Source organism: Homo sapiens, chromosome 12 (assembly GCF_000001405.40).
Source record: "Homo sapiens chromosome 12, GRCh38.p14 Primary Assembly".
In the NCBI taxonomy this organism is placed as follows: Eukaryota; Metazoa; Chordata; class Mammalia; order Primates; family Hominidae; genus Homo; species Homo sapiens.
The window spans coordinates 31288511-31313541 of NC_000012.12; the positions used below are offsets into that span (position 1 = coordinate 31288511).

A 25031-nucleotide genomic window follows, 5' to 3' on the forward strand; every position below is an offset into this window, starting at 1 on the left:
TCACCAGGTGGTAGCCTGAACTCTCTCCTGACATCCAGTAGTAACAAGGAGCCTCCCCCTCCCCCCAACCTCAGATGTCAATGGAGGTTGAGAGAGAAACTGGAATTCTAACACCTGGCGGTAAGTAATAGGGTGGTGAGGCCCCTCCCTCTTTCCCTGCCCTGAGGGGTGTCAAAAAAGCCAGTTAAAATAGAAGGGTTAAATAAGACCCAGAGTCTCACAACATAATCTGAAAATGTCCAGGTTTCAATAAAAAATTACATCAGTCCAAGAATCAGGAAGATCTCAAACTAAATGAAAAGGCCAACACTAAGATGACAAAGACATTAGAATTATCTGACCAAGATTTTAAAGCAGCCACGACAAAAATGCTTCAGTGAGCAATTATGAACATGTTTGAAATAAATGAAAACATAGGCTTGGCAAAGAAATAGGAAGCCTCAGTAAAAATAAGATAGAAAACTATAAGGAAAAAATAAATGGAAAATTTGTAACTGAAAAAAATACAATAAAGAAAATAAAAACCACAGTGGATGGGCTGAGCAACATGGAGGGGAGAGAGAAAACAAACAGTGAACTGGAAGAAAGAACAACAGAAATTGCCCCATATGAACGACACAGAAAACAAATGAACAGAGCAGGAGAAACCTGTGGAGCTTAGTCAAACATACATCTACATTCATGTCATTGCAGTCCTGGAGGGAGAGGAAAAAGAGAATAGAGGTGAAAAAGTACTCAAATATAGTGGCTGAAAACTTGTGAAATTTGGCGAGACATAAACCTAAGACTCAAGAAGCTAACCAAAGCCCAACAGAATAAACCCAAAGAAATCCATGCCAAAACACGTCATAATTAAGCCTCTATAAACTAAACCAAGAGAAAAATCTTGAAAGCAGCCAAAGAATAATGACATTATACCTATAAAGAGAAAACAAAAGATCCTGATTTAATAAGGAATAAAGGCAGTTCATTAGATGCAGAGCTAACCCTGATTTAATACTTTGCCTGTTTATGTGAAGATGTCAGATAAATGTACAAGCCAGAAAATAAGTTTCTTAGTTAACAGTCATTGTGCTATAAGGCTGTTGTACTGCCACGTCACAGCAAGAGCAGTATCATAAACCTCATAAACACAGGTGGGGCCTACCATACACCTTGCCCATCCCAGGACACGTTGACAGAGCAATCCTTCCATTCAGATAACCAATCAAGTACTTATTAAATATTTATAAGGCATCAAATCCTATGTTACATGCTGCATGGAAAGAAACAGACTAAAGAAAATTTGGGTTTTTTTTTTTTTTTAATTATTTTTATCTTTTGGTTTTCCTTGAGACCGGATCTCACTCTGTCACCCAGGCTGAAGTGCAGTGGCATGACCACAGCTCACTGCAGTCTCAACCTCCTGAGCTCAAGCAATCCTCCCGTCTCAGTCTCCTGAGTAGCTGGGACCACAGGCACACACCACCACACTCGGCTGGTTATTTTTTTAATTTTTAGCAGAGACAAGGTCTCGTTATTTGCCCAGACTGGTCTGGAGCTCCTAGCCTCAAGCGATCCTCCCACCTCGGCCTCCCAAAGTGCTGCAATTACAGGCATGGTCACACCTAGCCAAGAAAATGTTTTTGTTTTTGTTTGTTTGTTTGTTTGTTTGTTTAAAACAGAGTCTCACTCTGTCGCCCAGGCTGGAGTGCAGTGGCTGGATCTCAGCTCACTGCAGCCTCCAACCTCTTGGATTTTCATGCCTCAGCCTCTCGAGTAGCTACAACTACAGGTGTGCACTACCACACCCAACTAATTTTTTTATATTTTTAGTAGACAGGATTTCGCCATGTTTGCCAGGCTGGTCTTGAACTCCTGGCCTCCCAAAGTGCTGGGATTACAGGTGTGAGCCACCACACCCAGTCAAGAAAACGTTTTCTGAATAGAGCTCACAAATATTTTATATTTACAAATATTTACATAAAACAGCATAAAATTAGGTATCTAAAAGAAAGCCCCGTTAGTATTTTTAATATGTTAACTTAGCAAACAAAATCCTCAAGAGTAGCAGGTTTTAAAAAAATGAGTCTAGTGGGATGTTTAAGACTTCCTAAATAATTAACATCAACAGACACCTCTATGCTGCTGAGGAAAACTCACTCTCCTAGGAAGTGCTTAATATCTTTAAACTATTTGAAATTTCAATTATCTGACCATTTTTGTTTTGTTTTGTTTTTGTTTTCGGAGACGGAGTTTTGCTCTTGTTGCCCAGGCTGGAGTGCAATAGCACAATCTCGGCTCACCACAACCTCTGCCTCCCAGGTTCAAGCAATTTTCTTGCCTCTGCCTCCCAAGTAGCTGGGATTACAGGCATGCACCACCACGCCCAGCTAATATTGTATTTTTAGTAGACACGGGGTTTCTCCATGTTGGTCAGGCTGGTCTCAAACTCCCAACCTCAGGTGATCCACCTGCCTCGGCCTCCCAAAGTGCTGGGATTAGAGGTGTAAGCCTCCATGCCCAGCCCAAACTGCAATTTTAAGTCTTAAAAATTACGTAGGATTTAGAAGGCACCAAGGAGTGATTAGATGGCATCAAGTCGGTAGGGACAATGGGCAAAGTCAATGAGCAAAGCTGTGGAAGCCAAAAACACTCCAGGAACTGACTCAGCTCAAACAAAAATAGGACCTTCAAACACTTTCTAGGAATTCTCAACCATATTTTATAGTAAGCAGAAATCACTGCAGATTTTGAAAAGGATGACACAAAAAGAATAGCTAACATTTATAGACGAATTTATTTTGTTTTACAAAGCCATTTTTTACTTGATTATCCCCAGTTCTCTGATTAGAAAATTATGGTTAAACGTCAAGTGACTCCAGAGTTACACATTTGCTAGTGACAAGAGCTGATATTCAAATCCAGATCTGTAACTCTAGGTCCAATGCCTTTTCAGTACACCACAAAATGTCTTGAAAAGGGAATACAGGGCTGGGCACGGTGGCTCACGCCTGAAATCCCAGGACTTTGGGAGGCCAAGGAGGGCAGATCACCTGAGGTCAGGAGTTCAAGACCAGCCTGGCCAACATGGCGAAACTCTGTCTCTACTAAAAATACAAAAATTAGCTGGGTGTGGTGGCATGCACCTGTAATCCCAGCTACTCGGGAGGCTGAGGCAGGAGAATCGCTTGAACCCAGTAGGGGGAGGTTGCAGTGAGCTGAGATCCGTGCCACTGCACTGCACTCCAGCCTGGTTGACAGAGCAAGTTTGACTCCATCTCAGAAAAAAAAAAAAAGAAAGAAAGAAGAGAATACAGGCCTGGTATGTGCAGGATACACAGAAGCAAACACATAACCAGAAGCACAGACCATTTAGTGGGTGATATATAAAAATTCACATGTTTCCCAACTGCTTCAATGCACAAAGGTGCCAGCAATTTATACTGTACCTGGTGAACACCCTGTTTCAGTCTGAGCCTCCACAATCTACACACCTTATTATCAAAGGAATTTATTTTCAGTCTCTAACTACTACACAGCACAGTTTCATAATAAAAATCTAAAATTACACTGAATATTCCCTTAAGTAAGACAAAAGTGAGATATCACTTTCTCTATAATTAAGGGAAAGGGCTAAGAATATACATATGAATAATCAGTTCCTCGGCCTTCAAGTGATAAAAGAAAATTAATGTTTCCCAAATGTTCATTAAAACATCTAGTGAGGACTGGGTGTGATGGTTCACACTTGTAATCCCAGCACTTTTGGGAAGCCGAGGTGGGTGGATTGCTTGAGCTCAGTTTGAGACCAGCGTGGGCAACATGGCAAAACCCAAACTCTACTAAAAATACAAAAATTAGCCAGGCATGGTGGTGCATGTCTGTAGTCCCAGCTACTCAGGAGGCTGAGGCACAAGAATTGCTTGTACCCCAGAGGCAGAGGCTGCAGTGACCCAAGATCACACCACTGTACTCCAGCCTGGGTGACAGAGCGAGACCCTGTTTCAAAAAAAAAAAAGAAATAAAAGAAAATATCTAGTGAGAATGGAAGGTAGAGTTAAATCTTTAGGGAGATGGGGGGTTGAGAGCTGGTTAGGAAAGGTAAGTGTATAATTAAAATACATATACAAATTTATATTTCCTAAATATTTTACATCTCTACCACTTATTAAGTGGCCCAGATCAAGTTTAAATCACCTCTTTGTGCCTCCTATTCTGAGCTCTAAGATGGAAATAACTGAGATTACATATGTAAAGTGCTTAGTATACCAAAATGCTCAAAAAATGTTGAGTTCTCCTGCACTCCTCACTTTACCGTCACTAAACTTAGATGTCTTTTTCCATTATTCTAAAACAAGCATGATAACCATGTCTTGATTGATAATGTTCTCTCTAACAGGGCCCTATAGATTTTTTAAAAGTACTGAGAGCTCCAATAGAGATCCACAACCCCTAGCCGCAATTCTGAGAAAGCTCTGGAAACAGAAAGTATATTCCTAACCTATTTGGCCACAAAATCTGGCATGACCTAAACTATGACTATAAGCAGACAAACCTGACTAGCCTATGTACCATCTATTTATTCCACTAAATGTGAATACTGCTACTTTTTGCTGTAAAAATACTAATGTGTTTGGTTCAATAATGCTCCTTCAAACCCCAAGGGTAATAGAGATATTTATTAGACAATAACATTATATGCAGTGTATTTCCTTTTCAAAATCTAAAATCTCAATTCCAAAATACAGATGTGCCATTACAGCAACCCCCCAAAACTTCCAATAATAGCATGTGACCTGACATTAATTAATTAGACATTCCTTTCTCATTCTATCACACAACACACACTGCCCCTTAAACCTGAAAGCAAGCCCTGAGGTTGGCTGAATTTCAATATGTGCGTTATGATTTCTAAAGTTACTTTCCAGAAAATCTGGACTTTGGTCTCAGATTGTCCCCTTTACGTACCTTCTTGCACATCTGCAGGACTCAATTTCCTTATGGATAAAAATCAAGTAAATGAGCTAGAAATGCACCTTCTAGAAAATTAAGATGTCAATAAAGACATCAGGGTGGTCTCAGTACAATCTGAAGTGGTTAGCTAGTAGAAATACTCTCTTGAGACATCAAAATCAGAAAAAGTGCCAACATTTCACAGAAATAAGATAACATCTCTACCAAGTCAACGTTGCCTTCCAGTGCTCTTTATAAAAAGCAATAAAGGAAAAAATGATCCACACATGCCATACACCACCCCCAGCCAAAAATAACAAAACAATTATTAAGTACTAATGTTGTAATATCAAACTTACTATGACGTTTAAATTCCTTCTGCAGTTTACTGATCTGGTTGCTTTTTATCCTGTTCCCAGATAGAGTTTTCACTTTCTTTGGTTTCAATGTAGTCTTTAGACTGGGTCCAGCCCTTGCATCTACCACCTGGAAGAAAATACTGAATATTTAATAATATTTTTAAAATGACACCAGTGTATCCCTTTGGTTCAGATCCGTGCCTATTTGAGAACCACAGTTTTATACTGAAAAGAGGATGAAGCTCCATGTGCACCTTTAATCATCACATGACATAAGGGAATAAATAATATTTATCTACTGGGGTTTTTAAAGATATTCTTTCCTGTGAAGTGGGTAATAGTGGGAGTCTATTGGAAAAAAATTTAAATAGATTTGTATATGGGATAATCATTACTGGATGACCCAGCTAGGTTAAGAATCAAACCTAAAAACAACTCCATTTCTACAGGATAATGTTTTGCAGTTTACGAAAAGCTTTCATATACTTTTTATATTTAGTACAAAGCAAAAAATAGAGCTACTTTTGTTACTCCAATTTTAGACAGAAGGAAAACAAGGCAAAGATAAATTATGCATTTTGCCTTATTTCACCAAGCGAGTAAATGGGTAAGAGGGGTGGAGAGGGGAGAAGATTGGAATCAAGGTCTTCAGGCCTATTCTTTATGCTTTTTTCACTTTACACCTTAATCTCTGAGGTGAGTTACACGACAGCAATAGCATGTTCTCCCACAGTCTAGCCCAGCCATTGATCTCGCCCCATATGGTCCTGTTTCTTAGGTATTCATTCACATTTATTAGCTGCAGATTTCTACCCCATGTAAAAAGGAAGGTTGTTATCATCTTCAAAATCATGACCTATTATAATAACATAACACTGTCATCAAAGGACAATGTAAGGCTAGTGTGAACGATAACTGTGTTATACTTTCTATACACCATCTCATCCAGTTCTCACAATAGCTCTGTAAGAGAGCTATTATCTTTGCACTTCATGAATAAATATAACCTGCCCAAAATCCACAACTAGTAAGTGGTAAAGGCAAAATTCAAATTCAAGTCTGATCTACATGTTCATTAGTACCAACCTGAGTTCAAAGGATCATGTTATCCAAAGAGATTTAAGAAAAAGAATTCATGTCTAATTAACTCTGGGAATTACTGAGTTAAGCCTAAAAACAGGTGAATGCTTACTGTGAATCTCCAGAAGGGGGATATTGGATACAGCCTTAAGGAAATGCCACACCAGGCTATTCTGTTCTAAAGATGCCAAAATGTTAGGCCATTATATCTGAACAGCAGCTAGTGTTTTTCTTTATTCTTTTCAGACTTTTCTACCCTAGGGATATATTACTTCCTAAATTAGGGGGAAATTAATGTTACTTTAAATACAGTAGAGGTATAATTGAGAAAAAAGAAAGATGGACTAACATGATTCCAGTTTTTTTTTGATCCTGCTGGCAACTTCTTCCATCTTTTCACAAGCAGGACACAGGCATTGCAGATGTCTCCTGAACGAGTCTCATGCAATCTGATAAGAAAACAATCAAACCTTTATCAGTCTCCCTTACCTTAAAGAATTCATGCAAGCACATTTCTTTTGGGGAAAAAACTGTATCTATGTATGGTTTATAGATACAATTTAATCATCCTGGATGATCCCATTCCATTGTTTCTATAGAATATTTCAGAAATAAAATTATCTTCTAGATTCAACAAACCAATTCTATGTACGGCAATTTGGTTATTTTGAAATAAGAAATGCTTTTAAAATTAAATAGGCCAGGCTGGGTGCGGTGGCTCACGCCTGCAATCCCAGCACTTTGAGAGTCTGAGATGGGTGGATCACTTGAGGTCAGGAGTTTGAGACCAGCCTGGCCAACATGACAAAATCCCGTGTCTCTACTAAAAATACAAAAATCAGCCTGGTGTGGTGGTGCACACCTGTAGTCCCAGCTACTCAAGAGGCTTAAGCAGGAGAATCGCTTGAGCCCAGGAAGCAGAGGTTGCAGTGAGCCAAGATTGTACCACTGCACTCCAGCCTGGGCAACAAGAGCGAGACTCCATCTCAAAAAAAAAAAATTAAATAATTAAATAGGCTGGTGTGGTGGCTCACACCTGTAATCCCAGCACATCGGAAGACCAAGGTGGGAAGATCACTTGAGTGCAGGAGTTCGAGACCAGCCTGGGCAACACAAGGAGACCCCATCTCTACTTTAAAATTTTTTTTTTTAATTTAATTTAAAAAAATGCTTTTAAAATTAAAGAGTAAAACTCAAGACCTAAAAGAGATTCTGATTATCACGGTTTTAAACATTGCTGTTTAATTAATCTTTCTTGAAATGTGTAAATATATTTCTTTTTTGGTGGGGGCGTGGGGGTGAACAGGATCTCACTCTGTCACGCAGGCTGGAGTACAGTGGTGGGATTATGGCTCACTGCAGCCTCAACTTCCCAGGTTCAAGTGATCCTCCCACCTCAGCCTCCCTAGTAGCTGGGACCACAGGCACGTGCCACCACGCCTGGCTAATTTTTGTATTTTTTGTAGAGACAGGGTTTTGCCATGTTGCCCAGGCTGGTCTCCAACCCCTGGGCTCAACTGATCTGTCCGCCTTGGCCTCCCAAAGTGCTAGGATTACAGGTGTGAGCCACCACACCCGGCCTGTGTAGATATTTCATAAGTATCAAAATGCTAACCTTTGGCAAGTAAAATAATGTGCCATAATATTCCAGTTTCGCAGCAAACAAAACCAGAGAGGCACTGTAGTTTTAAAAAATGAAAATGGCCAGATGAGGTGGCTTATGCCTGTAATCCCAGCACTTTAGGAGGCTGAGGCAGCCGGGAGTTCGAGACCAGCCTGGGCAACATGGCAAAATCCTGTATCTACAAAAAAATAGAAAAATTAGCAGGGCATGGTAGTACATGCCTGTAGTCCCAGCTACTCAGGAGAGAGAGGTGGGAGGCTCACCTGAGGCCAGTGAGGTCAAGGCTGCAGTGAGCCATGACAGTGACACTGCAGTTCTGCCTGGGTGACAGAGTGAGACTCTGTCTCAAACAAACCAACAAACAAACAAACGATTATATTGCTGAGTAAGGTGGTGCACACCTGTAGTCCCAGCTACTCGAGAGGCTCAGACGGGAGGATCACTTGAGCCCAAAAGTTCAAGGCTGTGGTGCACAATGATCACACCTGTGAATAGCTACTGCACTCCAGCCTAGGCAACATAGGAAGACATTGTCTCTTTAAAAAAGAAAAGAAAAAAAGAATGATTTCCCATGTTAGAAATTACTTTCACCACTTTTTCTTATCAAAACATTTGTTGATCATTTATTGTTAATCCTGGACTTTTTAACTATTCTGAAGGTGTCAAAAAGGTCTGTGCCAACCATGCATGCCTTTTTAAATTTTATTTTTATTTTAGTATCTTCATTTCCTCAACCTCCCAGGCTCAGGTGATCCTCTCACTTCAGCCTCCGACGTAGCTAGGACTACAGGCATGTACCGCCACGTCTGGTGAGTTTTTTGTTTGTATTTTTTGTAGAGATGGGTTTCCCCATGTTGCCCAGGCTGGTTTCAAGCTCCTGGGCTCAAGTGACCCACCTGCCTCAGCCTCCCAAAGTGCTGGGATTACTAGCGTGAGCCACTGCACCCGGTCAAGCGTAATTTTTTTTTTTTTTTTTTTTTTTTGAGACAGAGTCTCATTCTGTCGCCAGGCTGGAGTGCAGTGGCGTGATCTCGGCTCACTACAACCTCCGCCTCCTGGGTTCAAGTGATTCTCCTGCCTCAGCCTCTGGAGTAACTGGGACTACAAGTGTGCACCACCACGCCCAGCTTATTTTTGTATTTTTAGTAGAGATGGGGTTTCACCATGTTGGCCAGGATGGTCTCGATCTCTTGACCTCGTGATCCGCCCGCCTCGGCCTCCCAAAATGCTCTCAGATTACTGGTGTGAGCCACTGCACCCAGTCAAGGGTAATTTTTTTAAAAGCCTTTTTAAAAATTAACCACAAAAGGAAGTCAACAACAAAAGGGTTTGTCTAGCTACAACTTTAAGGGGCTTCACGATTAATGTGGTAGCTCCTCATAATCTGGAAAAAAGTAGGCTGTCAGCATTGTTTGATTCATTTAAAAAGCAGGAGACTTACACAGCCTAAATTAGAATAAGTGATTTTTATTATTAGCACATTGTTCCAATCACCTTGCTTACAAATATTTCTGTATGCTGTGGTATTTTTTCACTCTAAGAATAGTACAAACATCAGGTGATCTTACCCAAAACAGCTCTGGAAGTCCTTTTCATAGCGTTTACTGTCAGTGAATCGAGAACTGGAGGACTTAGCTCTGCAAATACAGCAGCCCTCTATACTTCGGTACATCTTTGGCTTGTGAAAACCAAACATCTTTTCTTCTGGGCAATAGTCTGTAAAGCCAAGGGAATTGACATATCTTTGTTGAGGGCTGTAACAAGGAACCATTAAAGAGTTCTCTCTGCTCCACCCCACCCCCAAGCAACTTGGTGTTATATGACCAAGACAGGCAGGCAGCTCAAGGGAAGACCTCCTGGATCGACCTCCATTCTTGGCACTATCAAGGCAAGCGTATAAAACACAAAGAAAAGCCTAGTTATTTAAGGAGGACTCTACTACCTCCTAACTCGCCTAACAAACATGCAATCTAAAAATGGGGAAGAGAAGCATTTTTTAAAATCAGGTTTTGAAGTAAGAAATGCCACAAACAATCCTGTAAAATAATGAAGCTGTACACAATTAAGGATGCATCCTTAAATTTAAGACACACCTTTTTATTTTGCACATTTGCATTAACGTGATTCCCCTCTGGGGAAGTTTTGAGCATTTACCATGAATACTATTTGATACTAAGCACACAACTAGCTCACTATGCATCAGCCCATACTACTTTGCCTAATGGGAATTCAGAGGGGATTTCTTCTGTGATAAATGGGAAGTTCTAAGCAGTCAAGTTTGCCCCTGAATTGAAACTGCTGAAGGGAAGATGTAAAATTCACAAAAATCCAAGGTTAGAATTTAATAATAATAATTCCTTATTATCATTAAGACAAAAAAAGAACGAGCTCATGTTGTCTGACCGCTGATCTGCCCCTTAGTTGTTAGAGGTTTGTGGACCTCTTCTACAAGGCTTTGTGCCTGAGAGTAGTAACAGTGGGAGGCAAATGTCCCAGAGACGTAGAGTGAAATAAATTGCAGTCCTCCTGTTAAAAAAAAAAAAAATCTCAACGTCAAGGAAGGAATGAAAACAGCTCTGGGGCTGGATGCAAATATGTAGCTGGCAGTAAATCTGTACCTTAGGAAAAGTAATTTGGAATATCCAAATCAAGGGCCAGCTCACCAAAACAACCGGACTAAGAGAGGTGATGAAAAGGCAATGAATATAGAAACTAAACTCCAATGGACAAGTCAGAGGATGTGTGTATGTATGAGGGTCTAACTATAAATTATCACAAAATTATCACATAAAGCAACAATAAAAGAAAAAAATTTTTTTTTTTTTGGAGACAGAGTCTCACTCTTTCACCCAGGCTGGAGTGCGGTGGCGCGATCTAGGCTCACTGCAAGCTCTGCCTCCCAGGTTCAAGTGATTCTCCTGCCTCAGCCTCCCTAGTAGCTGGGACTACAGGTGCCCGCCACCACACCCGGCTAACTTTTTGTATTTTTAGTAGAGACAGGGTTTCAGCATGTTAGCCAGGATGGTCTCGATCTCCTGACCTTGTGATCCACCCGTCTCGGCCTCCCAAAGTGCTGGGATTACAGGCGTGAGCCACCGTGCCCGGCCAAGAAAATTATTAATATCACTTTCGTGTCCATAGTTTTAGGAGTTATTACCACAGAACACTATCTTTTTAAAGTTGTTTTAGAAATAAACTTAGATGAGTAAACCTAAAGCTTCAGTACAGTCATGTGTTGCTTAACAATGGGGACACATTCTGAGAAATGCATCATTGGGCATCCTTGTGCAGACATCAGTGTCCTCACATAAACCAAGATGGCAATAGCCTACAACACCCCTAGGCTATATGGGATAGCCTACTGTTCCAAGGCAACAAACTTATACAGCGTGTGACGGTACTGAATGCCGTGGGCAACTGTAATACAATGGTAAGAATCTGTGCATCTAAATATAGAAAAGGTACAAAAAAATATGGTATCATAATCTTTTGGGACCACCATCATATATGCAGTCTGTGGTTGACCGAAACGTCCTTGTGTGACATATGGCTGTATTTGTCTTTGGATTATCTCGTCTGATCCCATTCCATTCCAATTCTGGTTAGTATAATATAGCAAGTATTAATGAAAATGATTCAGAACCAAATATCCAGGCTTTTTATGTGTATTTTTTTGGTATTGAGGGGTTTTGAAATATAGACAGAGGTTTTACAACTTTTAAAAGAAAATTTTTTTAAAACTTTTATTAGCAAATAATTAGCTAAAAACTGAAGCTTCCCTTTCAAACAGGCTATTGTTAATAAACTGTTCCTCTGCCATGTTTTTGTTGGTGAGAGAGGCAGGCAAAAGAGTGGGATGGGGGCAAGGCAGAAGGCCTTCATGCATTTCAATAATTAAGTCTAAACAGTTACCTCTAAGAACTGTTTTAAAAAAAACATTTTTAGTTGATAATAATTTTAGTTAAATGCTTGGGAATTTGATGTCTTTGAGAGGAAGAAAAATGAGGAAGTACCCTCTACACAGTCATAAGAAAAGATCTAGAGAGGCCTGCTCAAATGAGGCAGATTTTTTTTTCTCAATCCAACAACAAACCCATATGATAACTGAAAAGAAAATCCTGAAGAAAATGGTCGCATGTTGCTTTGGAAAAAACAATGTCAAATGACAGAAGATTGCAGAAACAAGAAAGCAGAGTAGCAGTTATTGCTTTAATTTGTGTATTCCTGTTTTAAGGCAAAATGTTAATACGGCCCTCGTCCTCACACCACCCTGCGCTCTTCTCCAAACTCGCCCAACAGCTTGCATTACCATCAAGAAGGTCAGAGAACAGTTCCTCTAATACTCTCCAACTTCATCCATAACTCTTGGAAACTTCAGCCTCCCTTCTCAGCAAGGACAAAAGAAGCAGAGCAAAAAAGGCCAGTTCATTCCATTAATACACAGACCAAATCCTATTACGACAGACAGATTCCTATCTCTACCCTCACCATCTCTTTCCCTTCCCCCAAATAAACAAGTCCTCAAAGCTATCAGCATTCAGCTCATCTCTAGGATGTGAACTACCTTCACTGAGGTTGGATTTGACCAAGACGCCATAGTTTGTGCCAGTTACCACACTGCTAAGCTGTTAAGGATGTTAGGGTTATAGGTGAATATTGAGGCTTTCTTTTTAATCAGCAGCCATTGTGAATTAAGTGTTCCTCTTCAATGATTTTTTTCTGCTGGTGGGGACCTCCACAAAACTTACCCAGCACCCCTAGCAAGACATTCCAGTCATAAGCTGAGGAATATTCTTCTTAGACATAGGGGAGAATAGGCTGATGTCTTAGGATTCATAATCCATTTTCATATAGTTCCGTGACCTTACTTTTGTCCTGACAAAATTATTCTGCCTGAACATCTGAGAGGGATCTAAATCCTAGGGCTTACCCTCTCCTAGGCAATGCTCAGTGAGAAATGCAATGAGGTGGCAGACACCTGTCCTTATGCAACACACAAGGAGCATGTGAACCTTTTAATGGATGACAACTTAATAAACCTATTAAGCCTTTTCTGAGCTTATCCTCACACTTAAGAGGCACCTGGGAATCTGCAGCAAATACACAGGGGTTTCATTTCGGGCTTTGTTTACAACAACCAAGTTAAGCAGTGGTTGGTGTTTAACCATTTCAAGGTTTGGGAAGCCCTGAGATTAACTGAAATTATTTCCAAAAATCTACAAACCCATGAAATGTTTAAAAAAACAACAAAAAAAAAACACTACTTAATCCCTAGAGCAAAACCAAGGACATAAAATGGTCTCTGAAACCAAGTTACTTTATATATTTAACAAAGTACTGGGTGGGCGTGGCATAACTTGATTTTAAACTGGAGATTTGTTTTTTCAAGCAATCTGGTGGTTCTTTAGAATACTGCTTTCCTAGTACCAAATTTGTGCAATATTAAATGATTCCTCCAGTACAATCTATCTTATTTGTTCAAATGACACCATCAGCTATGAAACTATCTGTGAATTTTGCCTCTATTCTCATAGGCATCATATCACTCAGCACTATGTTTTAAAGGAAGAAAGGTAATACTATCTGCTTTCTAATTGATTAATAGTTACAGCTGAGAACAGACCCCATACAATCTCATCCTTAACCATGTGTTTGGGGAAAGAAGAGGAAAATTAAGCTGTGAGATAAAGCCAAAAATCAAGAAAAACTTAAAATACTGATTATGAACTGTCATTCGTCTTCTAAAATTAAATAGTGGTATGGTTGCAAAATTCTGAGTATACTAAAAGCCACTGAATTGTACACATTACAAGAGTGAATCTTATGGTATATAAATGAGTGAATTTTATGGTACGTGAAAGATCTCAGTAAGCCTGTTTTTGAGATATTTAAAAATAAAAATAACTGAGTTAGGAATTCACTTGTCTTTATCATCTTTGTAAACTCATCATCTCGGATGCCAGTCTCATACTAGCTGTGTCAACCCAAATTGAGAGACCAAGATGGGAATCTCAATCAAACAAAGTTTATCAGGCCGAGCTTGAGGATGTGCGCCCAGGAAGCACAGGTTCCAACAGGTTATAACCTGTGTTTCAAAGCAGATTACACGAGGCACGGTATTCATACATTTTTTTAAACAGGGGGATACCTGCAGTACAGTGAAGCAACAATTACACTCTTGTCGATTTGACTGGTATTCAGTGATGTTACACATAAGGTAAAGTAAGTATGTGGCTGAGCGGGTAGGAGAGAAGGATTAATAATTGTGTAGGCATCTCAGGGTCTGGCGGAAGGATGATTGATTCCATCCTGCCTTTGTTCTATATCTGATACACAAGTTTACAACCAGTACCTGTTAGTAAAATATTTAACAAACTCCAGTTACAAATGCACAAAGGGTCAGCCTTAGTTAATAGGCCATGGTTTTATTACCCATATGTCCAAACTGCAGCCATCTTGGCTCACTTTTCTCTTTTCTTCTGACACTATCATCAATCATCTATCTGTCTATCTACAATATGTTTTCTTAAGGTCCCTGAAATAGAAAAAAAAAATCATTTCAAGATGTTTTTCAAGATTTGAGGGGTTACAGTTAAAACATGCCTATTTATGGGAGGTTCTAACACTGATCTAACTGACATAGCTGCCTTTGCACGTACACATTCTTCAGCCAGAACAAATATTTAGAAGAGGCTGTGTCAACCCATTTTTCCTTGTATTTCCACATTTTCCCCCTTTTGATCAAAATTTCTCTTTAGAGAACACAAATGATCATACTTCATGTCCTTTTGTCCTTCTGCATTGGGAAGGCTCATTCCCAGGAAGTCATGTCCCACGTTGGAGGGAAAGAGGTGAGATGAGGTTGATGTAGGCCTGAGGTGGACACTCCAGGGGTATGTAGTAGAATCTGCTGCTACGCTTACAGGATAATTCTATCTACATTGTGCTACCATAATGGGCGGGGAGGGTGTTAATTTTTTTTTTTTATCAAGATAGGGTTTCACTGCATTGCCCACACTGGTCTCAAACTCCTAGCCTCAAGCAGTCTTCCCACCTTGGCCTCCCAAGTGCTAGGATTGAGTGTGAGCCACTGCACCTGACCTATAATTCTGGTTTTAGCAATAGACTTACGTAAGTTGGTTATAAATACCATGAGTAATTTAAGTGATAGTAAGAGAAGTAGGATAGAGACTATATCAAGGTTTGAGATCCTTTTGTCATTTGTAAGTGTGATGACTGGGCATTCACACGTGTGAGATGTGCCTCCCTCAAACCTTGTTATGACGTCGGCACTTTACCCATGAAAAAGGGGTTGAACTGCAGACTGGAAGAAATAGGAAGCCAATTAAATAGATCATTGAGAAGATCAGTAGTTTGTGCCTCTTGTAACCATTTAGCTTGCTTGGAAATTCTTTCTGTGCAAGTCTCTACTTCACCCGAGGTGTCGATGTAAGTGCAACAGGCACTGTGAGCTACTGCACAGACTCCTTGTCCCAGCTACTCGGGAGGCTGAGGTAGGAGGATCACCTGAGCCCAGGGAGGTCAAGGCTGTAGTGAGCCATGATCACACCACCACACTACAACCTAGGCGAAAGAGCAAGACTCTCCCTCAAAAAAAAAAAAAAAAAAGCGCCCTTCAATTTGCCAGCTATTTTGCCAGCTATTTACACTATGTGCCCATCCTTGAGTTGGTGGGTGTGGCCCAATGCCACATACCAAAATGTATCTCTTAACTATTCATTCATAATAGTTTGAATAGGTAAGTTGTTTAAAACATGAGTGAGCCATGGATTGGTTTTACTGCAGGCCTTACAAAGGCCTGCATAAGCATGATATATAACAAATGAGACGTGCTGGCACAATCTGCTTTGCTTTTTCTCCTTTGGACATTCAGTTGCCAGTTATGACAGTAACGGTGGGAGGCCAGGAATGTGCAGGGACCTGGAAAAGATGAGGAATTAAGTTTGTGTTCTAGATAAGTTAGAGAATTTGTCCCTAATTGGCTTACTGATAGATAGACCTGGGGGCGGTGGGGAAGGGTGAGACTTAGGGCTTATTACTAAGCACAGAATGAAAATATGGCCTGGCTTTAGAAGCTGAATTTGAATTTGGAAAGTGACATTTGGAGGGAACTGATGTAAGTATATGGTAACATTTGGAGTGTCAGAAAAATCAATCTCTGGTGCAACAAGTAGCATGTAATGATCTTGAATGGCCCTTGGAAGCTGGTGACAAATCCAGCAATCTGAGAGACTGCCTCCATCTGCCACACTTTAGGAGAGTTTGGCTAATGAACTATTTTTCCATCCCCAGCAGAGACCCTGAAAAGTCAAGTGTATATACATAGGTGGCCATCATGTGTACAGAAACATTAACCAGGTTATATATCCTATAATCTGAGTCAAAGCAGACAAGGCCAATAGTCCCCAAAGTAAATATAATACTCTAAGAATGTTTAGACAGGAGATCATACAGGCCTGGTCTGAAGTCTTAGGTCAATTAGCTGTCCACTCAGATGTTGTCAACTTCTCGTCCTGGTTTCAGGGTTGAAGCTGTTTGGTGAATCAGAGACAGGGATCTTTGGTGGGAGTCATGGTCCATTCAGGAAGTTGTGCCTTTTTAAGGTGAGAGATATGGATCCGTGAGTCTACAACCTTTAACTCTGCTGTGCATGGATTAGTCAACGATACCTGGTAAGGGCCCCTCCACCAAGGCTGGAGGGAGTCCTTTATGAGATGTCTTTTCCAACAGACAAAATTTCCAGGTTGGAGGTCATGACCAGAATCTTCATCTCCCAGGAGCGCACTGTGGGACGTGTCTTGCACTAAGGTCTGGCTTTTCATGAGCTGGTGAACAAGTCCCTTACAACAGTGCAAGATGTCCCCATTCAGTAAATTTGTATCAGTCATCTTGATTCCCATGTGCCTGGGTCTTCCAGTTACAATTTCATGAGAAGAGAGCTGATAAAGGGATGGATCAAAGGTTGAGCAATACCAAGGGGAGTGCCTTCAGCCTAGCAGAGGTGAAAAGCCTCCATAAATTTAGCCAGTTGTGTTTTTATTATTCCATTGGTCCATTCTACCAATCCGGGGACTTAGCCAATTGTGTTATTATTCCATTGTTCCATTCTACCAATCCAGAGGAACTAAGGGTGGTAGGCACAATCAAAATACGGAAATATAGGCCAATTTTTTTTTTTTTTTTTTTTTGAGACTAAGTCTCGCTCTGTCACCTAGGCTGGAGTGCAGTGGCATGATTTTGGCTTACTGCAACCTCCGCCTGCCAGGTTTAAGCGATTCTCCTGCCTCAGCCTCCTGAGTAGCTGGGACTACAGGCGTGCGCCACGATGCCCGGCTAATTTTTGTATTGTTAGTGGAGACAGGATTTCACCATGTTAGCCAGGCTGGTCTTAAACTCCTGACCTCAGGTGATCCGCCCGCCTCGGCCTCCCAAGTGCTGGGATTACAGGCATGAGCCACTGCGCCCAGCCCCAAATTTTACAAATGCTCAATGACCTGGGCAGTAAAATAAGTTCCCCTATTGCTGTGAAGTTCAAAAGGGGACTCCCCATAATGGGGTAATCCCTTAATAAGATTTTACCCACTACCATTGCCCATCAGCAGGATGGGCAATTGCATTACCCAATGCAAAAACATGCATATCATTACCAATACATATTTATATGCTTAAGATGGTGGCAGCTAGATAAAATCAAGCTGCCACATCTCAAAAGGTCTAGGTAGAAAAAGAAAATGATCCTGAGCCCCATAAAGGGGTTTTCCAGGATTGTGTTTTGGGTAGATGGTACACTGTAAATCAATCTTCTGTGCCATGATGACAGTCTCCAATAATATTGTTTATAATAGGATATCATTTTATCTGAATTCCAATGGGTCAAGCTGTAAATGTGTTCCATGAGGGGTATCTGATACCCCACTAGGATAATGGGTTTATCATTAGGTCCATACCATAGTTCAGTTTGCGGGAAAAGTACCCCCCCCTTTTGTTTCCAGGTAGATCTTTCTTCGATGAAAGCTAAGTCTTGGGTTTCCTTTAGCGTAGATTTAACTGTTTAAGTCTCACAGTCATTCCAAGGATCGGACTGGTGTCTCAAATGCAGCACTCTTAGCTACTGCATCAGCAAAGTGATTACCTTGACTCTGTGTTGTGTTTAATTCAGAGCAGCCTGGAACCTTTATAATTGCCAAAAGCGAGATCCAAGACTAGTCCATTTTTTTACGGGTTGCCCTGAGAAGGTTAAATACCCTCTCTCTTTCCATAGCATTCCAAAGTCATGAGCACCATCAGATGCATAGGGGCATAATTTTTGCTACTTTATTCTTTGCTAGTTAACAAGTTTGAGTCAGGGCAATCAGTTCAGCCAGTTGGGCTGACTTAGCCTGAAGAAGACCAGCTTCAATGACCATGGCACATCCTGCTTTAACCTTACCACCTTCTCCCCTCAAGTAAGATACATCTGTAAACCATTCTGTCTTAGCATTATCTAGTGGTGATTCTTGTAGGTCTGTCCTTGGGGTAAAAAGTTGGGTGTGTCATCAGGATGAAGTAATGAGAGGTCTTATCAGAAGACTGGCCAGGCCTGGTGCAGTGGCTCATGCCTATAATCCTAGCACTTTGTGGTCTGCTAAATTCATATTTCAGTATTTGGGAAAAGTAAGTGGGGCACTGTATATCCCTGTAACATCACAGTCCAAGTATACCGTCATTCTCTCCAGGTAGAGGCAAACAAATACTAACTACCTGGATGTATAGGGATGCTTAAAAAGGCACTAGAGATCCACAAGTGCCACTCAAGGTGGGCAGACCGCTTGAGCCCAGGAGTTTGAGACCAGCCTGGGCAACATGGTAAGCCCTGTCTCTACAAAAAATATAAAAATTAGCCAGGTGCAGTGGTGCAAGCCTGTAGTCCCAGCTACTCGGGAGGCTGAGGCAGGCAGATTAACTGAGCCCAGGAGGTCAAGGCAGCAGTGAGCTGTGAACACACCACTGCAGTCCAGCCTGGGTGACAGAGCAAGACCCTGTCTAAAAAAGAGAGAGAGAGAGAGAGTGGCAAGGTTAGGATTACTGCAACGAGATGGTAACATTAGAGGATAATAAAATTAAGACCTAATAGGAAGTTAATCTATTGAAAGACAAGTGTTGAGTTATGATGGGAATTCAGAAGTAGCTCAACTGAATACGGAATGAAGGCAGTAAGGGAGAGGACCCCATGACTATCTCTCCAACAGTTTTATATAGAAGGGCTATAGCTGATATTGCCCTCATACAAGGGGGCCATCCTCGAGTCATTGGATCTAACTGCTGACTATAATAGCCTATAGGTCTGAGTCAACATACCAAATGTGTTCCCCCCATCTTCATGAACAGAAAGAGAGAAAGTTCATAGTTTGGGTGTCTTATTGCTGGGGCATTTATTAACCTTTTAAAAAAAAACAACAACAACAGACTCTTGCTCTGTCACTTAGGCTGGAATGCAGTCGGCTCACTGCAACCTCTGCCTCCCAAGTTCAAGCGATTCTCCTGCCTCAGCCTCCCATGTAACTGGGACTACAGGCATTTTGCCACCACATCTGGCTAATTTTTGTATTTTTAGTAGAGACACGGTTTCACCATGTTGCCCGTGCTGGTCTTGAACGCCTAGCCACAAGTATCTGCCCACCTCAGCTTCTCAAAGTGCTGGGATTACAGGCGTGAACCACCGCGCCTGGCCTACTAATCTTTCTTTAATTTGTTGCACAGCTGGCTGTCCCTCACGAGTCCACATGATGGGATCAGGCTGGTCATTCTTTAAACAGGTACAAAAGGGTTGAGTCACACAATAAAAATTTAGTATCCAGCTTCCACAACAGCAGGCCAACTCCAAGAACCCTCTAAGCTATTTTTTAGTAGGAAGCATCAAAAAAGCTAAGATTCCTTTGATTCTATCAGGATTGATGCTCAATCCTTTGGCTGACATAACATGTGCCACATGTTTGACTTGAGAAAGACAAAATTAAAGTTTACCCTTAATGTAATGGTCAATTGTTGAAGTAAGTACAAGTTTTCTTCTTCAGAGGAAGAAAGTGTGTCAGAGCAAAGGAGGAGGTATGCATACACTGGATGAGGGATGAGGATCCCCTGAGAGAAGTCCGAGTCTGCTAAATTCATATTTCAGTATTTGGGAAAAGTAAGTGGGGCGCTGTATATCCCTGTGACATCACAGTCCAAGTATACCGTCATTCTCTCCAGGAAAAGGCAAACAAATACTGACTACCTAGATGTATAGGGATGCTTTAAAAAGGCACTACAGAGATCCGCAACTGAAAAATATCGTCAGGGACAGGCACAGTGGCTCACACCTATAATCCCAGCACTTTGGGAGGCTGAGGCGGGTGGATCACTTGAGGTCAGGAGTTCGAGACCAGCCTGGCCAACATCATGAAACCCCGTCTCTACTAAAAATACAAAAATAAGCCAGGTGTGGTGGTACACATCTGTAATCCTAGCTACCTGGCAGGCTGAGGCAGGAGAATCACTTGATCCCAGGAGGTGGAGGCTGCAGTGAGCTGAGATTGTGCCACTGTACTCCAGCCTAGGTGACAGAGTGAGATTCTGTCTCAAAAAAAAAAAAAAAAAAAAAAAGAACACTATCATCCTTGATATTTGGTATGGCAGACAGGTGTATGAAGGTTAAGAAGCACTGGATATCTAGGTATTATAATACTGTCTACAGCCCGTAAGTTTTGTACAAATCTCCATCCCCTTCCCATTTGGTTCCTTGACAAGGAAAATGGGGGTGTTGCAGGGACTGATGCAGGGAATAATAAAACCTCTCTCAAGATAATCTCATGATTGGGGCAACTCCATCTATGGCTTCTTGCCATAGTGGCTATTATTTTACGTTAAGCAAGGGATTCTTAGTGTTAATCTCAACCTTTATTGGAGTAGCTGAGAGTATCTTTCCTATGCCTATGTTAGACTGGGACCACAGCAGGTAAGAAATAGTTTCAAGTAAAAGCTTAGCTTCTGGCATTAGTAGAAAAGTTGAAGTTTAAAAGGAGCCTTATGGTTTCCTTCCCTTTATTATATTTCATTTTGTTTTCTCATTTTCCCAATCACATGAAGGTGTCTTTACACCACTAACATCAACTTGTGATTTTTTTTTTTTTTTTTTTGAGACGGAGTCTCACTCTGTCGCCCAGGCTGGAGTGCAATGGTGTGATCTCGGCTCACCGCAACCTCCGCCTCCCAGGTTCAAGCAATTCTCCTGCCTAAGCCTCCGGAGTAGCTGGGATCACAGGAATGCACCACCACGCTCGGCTAATTTTGTATTTTCTTAGTAGAGATGGGGTTTTTCCATGTTGGTCAGGCTGGTCTCAACCTCCCGAGCTCAGGTGATCCACCTGCCTCAGCCTACCAAAGTGCTGGGATTACAAGCGTGAGCCACCGTGCCCGGCCAACTTGTGATATATTATGAGGGCATTTTTTGGTTTGCTTTCCCCAATCCCATGATTTCAGTTCCAGCAACATTTCCCACTTTAAGGAAAAAGAGATGAGCATTATGGATGTCGTGGAAATTTCAATCCAGAAGGTTAAACAGGTACTTCTGGGCATATCAGGAAAACATGGGATTGGCTAAGGGTATCACATTCACAGCCCTTGGGAGGAAGCCAAACCCAATGAACCACTAAAGCAAAGATGTGAACTTAAAGCAAGGGATGGGTTTATTAGGTATACCCACCATGTTAACTTTTTCATTCCTCTGAGAAATGGGGTTTTCAAGTAAGGTGGAATTTATAACTGATACAGGAGCTCCTGTGCCTACTATTGTGTTAATTTCTCCCAAAGAGTGAGTTAAAGCAGCATATTGGGAGAAATGAAAACCCCCTATTTCCTCAGAGGAGTCCTAGTTTTCCAGTTTATCATCCTGTTTCCATTTCAATGTCCTGCAATTCCTTTTAAAATGCCTAGTTTCTTGTAGTAGTGACAGACAAGGGGAGAAGAGTTCTTAGGACCAAGACTTCCTAGCCTGGGAGTTTTAAGAGGTTAAGTGTTACCATTGTTAAGTGTACAGCCTTTTGATTTTCCTTTTTCATCATTGTGCAGGACAACTGGTCAGCCAGTTGACCAGTCATTAGTTCTGGCCATCACCTAGTCAGTCATGTGACATTTGACAAGAGTGGGTAGTGCATCACCCAAATTGTTTGGGAAATTTTAATAATATGTCATTTTTATTGTTTTCAAAGTTGTCCATTGACATCTGCAATATTGTTTTCATGTTTTATCAAAGTGGGTAAAAAAATCTACAACAGGCCCATCTGGATTCTGGCAGCATCGCTGGATTTTAATCTAATCTACGATCTTTTTTTTTTTTTTTTTCCTGAGAGAGTCTCACTCTGTCGCCAGGCTGGAGTGCAGTGGTACAATCTCCGCTCATTGCAACCTCCGCCTCTGAGGTTCAAGCAATTCTCCTGCCTCAGCCTCCTGAGGAACTAAGATTACAGGTGTGTGCCACCACGACTGGCTGATTTTTGTATTTTTAGTAGAGATGGGGTTTCACCAGTTGGCCAGGCTGGCCTCGAACTCCTGACCTCATGATCCACCCGCCTTGGCCTCCCAAAGTGTCCGGCCGTAATCTATGATCTTTTGAAAAAAACAAGGGAATGGCATTTAACAGAGAAGCTGCTCATACCCACGCGTCTTTGAGCCATCTTCTGAAAGCTGGGGAGTTGGCTGTGGCAGAGGTCATACTGGATTTTCAGGAACAAGATCTGTTAGGGGATCCAACCACACTGTGCTTTTTCTAGCTATTCCTTAGCTTAAGCAGCTGAAACCAGCATGTAGACAAGCCGATAAATGTCAGAATGACCTGGGTCATAGATTTTAATTGTGAGTTCAAATTCTTTGGTAAAGCAAATCCGATCTTCATAAGGGTCAGGAAATTCCTTAACTATGGCCCATAATTTGGCCTTCGACTAGGGTTGATAGAGAATCAGGACTCCAGGCAGGCCGGGCACACACGCTGCTGGTACTGGAAGTGAACCACTGGGACCGAGCATGAGCAAGCCAGTGAGTGGGTCCCGCAGCCCCCTGGACCCAGGGCCAAGCATGGCGGCTGCCAAGGTGGCTTTAACTGAGAGAGCAGATCCAACTGAGCTTATAACAATATTTTTGAAGTATGCAAGCATTGAGAAAAATGGTGAATTTTTCATGTCTCCCAGTGACTTTATCACTCCATACTTGAACATTTCTGGAGAAAGCCAGCCTAACCCAAAGACTGTGGAACTTTTAAGTGGGGTGGTGGGTCAGACCAAAGATGGGAGGAATGTTGTCCCAGCGTTGATGATGCTAAGTTTGATCACTTGATGAAGGTGGCATCCACCAGCTATTTCCATTTTAATGACTAGTATCTTTTCAAGAATGTGTGGCCTTTTGATTGGTCCTGGGTGCCCCTGATACTTTGTTTATGGTAGCCTTTCAGCTAGCTGTTTGACAAAGCTGGCAAAGGAGAAGTAACTTTTGATCAGAAAGAGGATGGTACCAGCAGTCTACAGGTGTCATCCCAGTCACTGTTCCCTGGTCCCAATGGTAACAACTGACATTTATCACCATCAATTGGTTTTTCCTGTTTTTAAACTTAATTGGAACTATACAGAATGTACTCTTTCAGTCTGGCTTCTTTTGTTCAACATTTGTGAGATTTATCCATGCTGTATTTTTTATTTTTCTTCACTGTATAGAATTCCGTTGTGTGACAGCATATCCATTCTAGGGTCGATAGACATTTTGGGACATTTTCAGTTTTGGCTACTACAAGTAATGTGTTTTCAACATTGTTTTACGTATTTTGTGTGTGTGTGTGTGTGAGTGTGTGTATTTCTAGGAATAGAACTGCTGGGTCATAGAAAATGTGTAAATTTACCTTCAGTAGATCTTGCTAAACTGTTTCCTAAAATGATGGTACCAGTTAACACTCATACCATCATTGTATGAAGGCTCCATTTATTTCAGATATTTGCCAACACTTGGTATCAGTCATTTGTTATTTCAGTGGTATCTCAGTGTGGTTTTGATAAGCATTTCCCTGATTCCAAATGGGTCCTAGAACTTATTGGCCATTTAGGTATCCTCTTCAGTCATGTGCTTATCTTCTGGATACAAGACCTGTGGTGGTTATATGTTTCATAGATGTCTTTACTCTGTTCACTGTTACTCATTTAACTGAGTCTTGAGGAACTTAAGTTCCTAATTTTAATGTAGTACAAATTATCAGCATTTTCTTTTGTAGCTAGCTCTTTTTGCGTCCTGATTAAGAAATCTTTGCTTTCCTCCAGGTCGGGAAAATAATCTCCATTATTATCTTCCAGAAGTTTGTTTTCCTTTCAAATTTAGATTTTAATTGTTCTAGAATTTGTGATATTTTTACATGGCATTAAAGGTAAGGGTCAAAGATTCTTCCCTGGCCCTCTTCCCCATGGATATGTAGATCACCCAGCACCATTTAATGAAAAGATCACTCTTTTCTTTTTTTTTGAGACGCAGTTTTGCTCTCGTTGCCCAGGCTGGAGTGCAATGGCACGATCTCGGCTCACTGCAACCTCCACCTCCTGGGTTCAGGCGATTCTCCTGCCTCAGCCTCCCAAGTAGCTGAGATTACAGGTACCCGCCACCACGCCCAGCTATTTTTTTTTTGTATTTTTAGTAGAGACGGTTTCACCATATTGGCCAGGCTGGTCTCGAACTCCTGACCTCAGGTGATCCACCTGCCTCGGCCTCCCGAAGTGCTGGGATTACAGGTGTGAGCCACCCCATGCAGCCAAGATCACTCTTTTCTTTATTGCACTGCAGTGGTACTGCTGTCATAAATTCAATATGGGGCTGTATCTGAATGCTCTATTCTTTTCATATAATTGTATATTATCCACTAATACTATCTTAATTACTACAGCTTTATAAGTCATACCTGATAAGTCTTTCAACTTTATTCTTTAAGATTATCTTGGCTATTCTTGGCCCTATTCATTATCAAAACA

At 41.3% G+C, this 25031-nt stretch overlaps 1 protein-coding gene and 1 pseudogene across 6 annotated transcripts in view; one reads left to right on the top strand and one right to left on the bottom strand.

Annotated features, from left to right (window-relative positions):
* The window catches only part of SINHCAF (SIN3-HDAC complex associated factor), a 45567-nt gene that overhangs the window by 7927 nt on the left and 12609 nt on the right, over positions 1 to 25031 (bottom strand). For 3 of the 6 annotated variants that reach the window (NM_001135812.2, XM_017019762.3, XM_011520803.3), the window contains 3 exons: positions 9567 to 9714; positions 6724 to 6823; positions 5295 to 5421 (listed from right to left, as the gene is read on the bottom strand). In NM_001135812.2, coding sequence (NP_001129284.1) covers positions 5295 to 5421; positions 6724 to 6823; positions 9567 to 9694 — 355 coding nt within the window. In that variant the 5' untranslated portion in view covers positions 9695 to 9714. Of the gene's footprint in view, positions 1 to 5294; positions 5422 to 6723; positions 6824 to 9566; positions 9715 to 16471; positions 16614 to 25031 lie in introns of all 6 variants that reach the window. The other 3 variants (NM_001135811.2, XM_047429272.1, NM_021238.3) reach the window with 2 other exon arrangements.
* On the top strand, positions 15207 to 15304 carry LOC124903109 (uncharacterized; annotated as a pseudogene).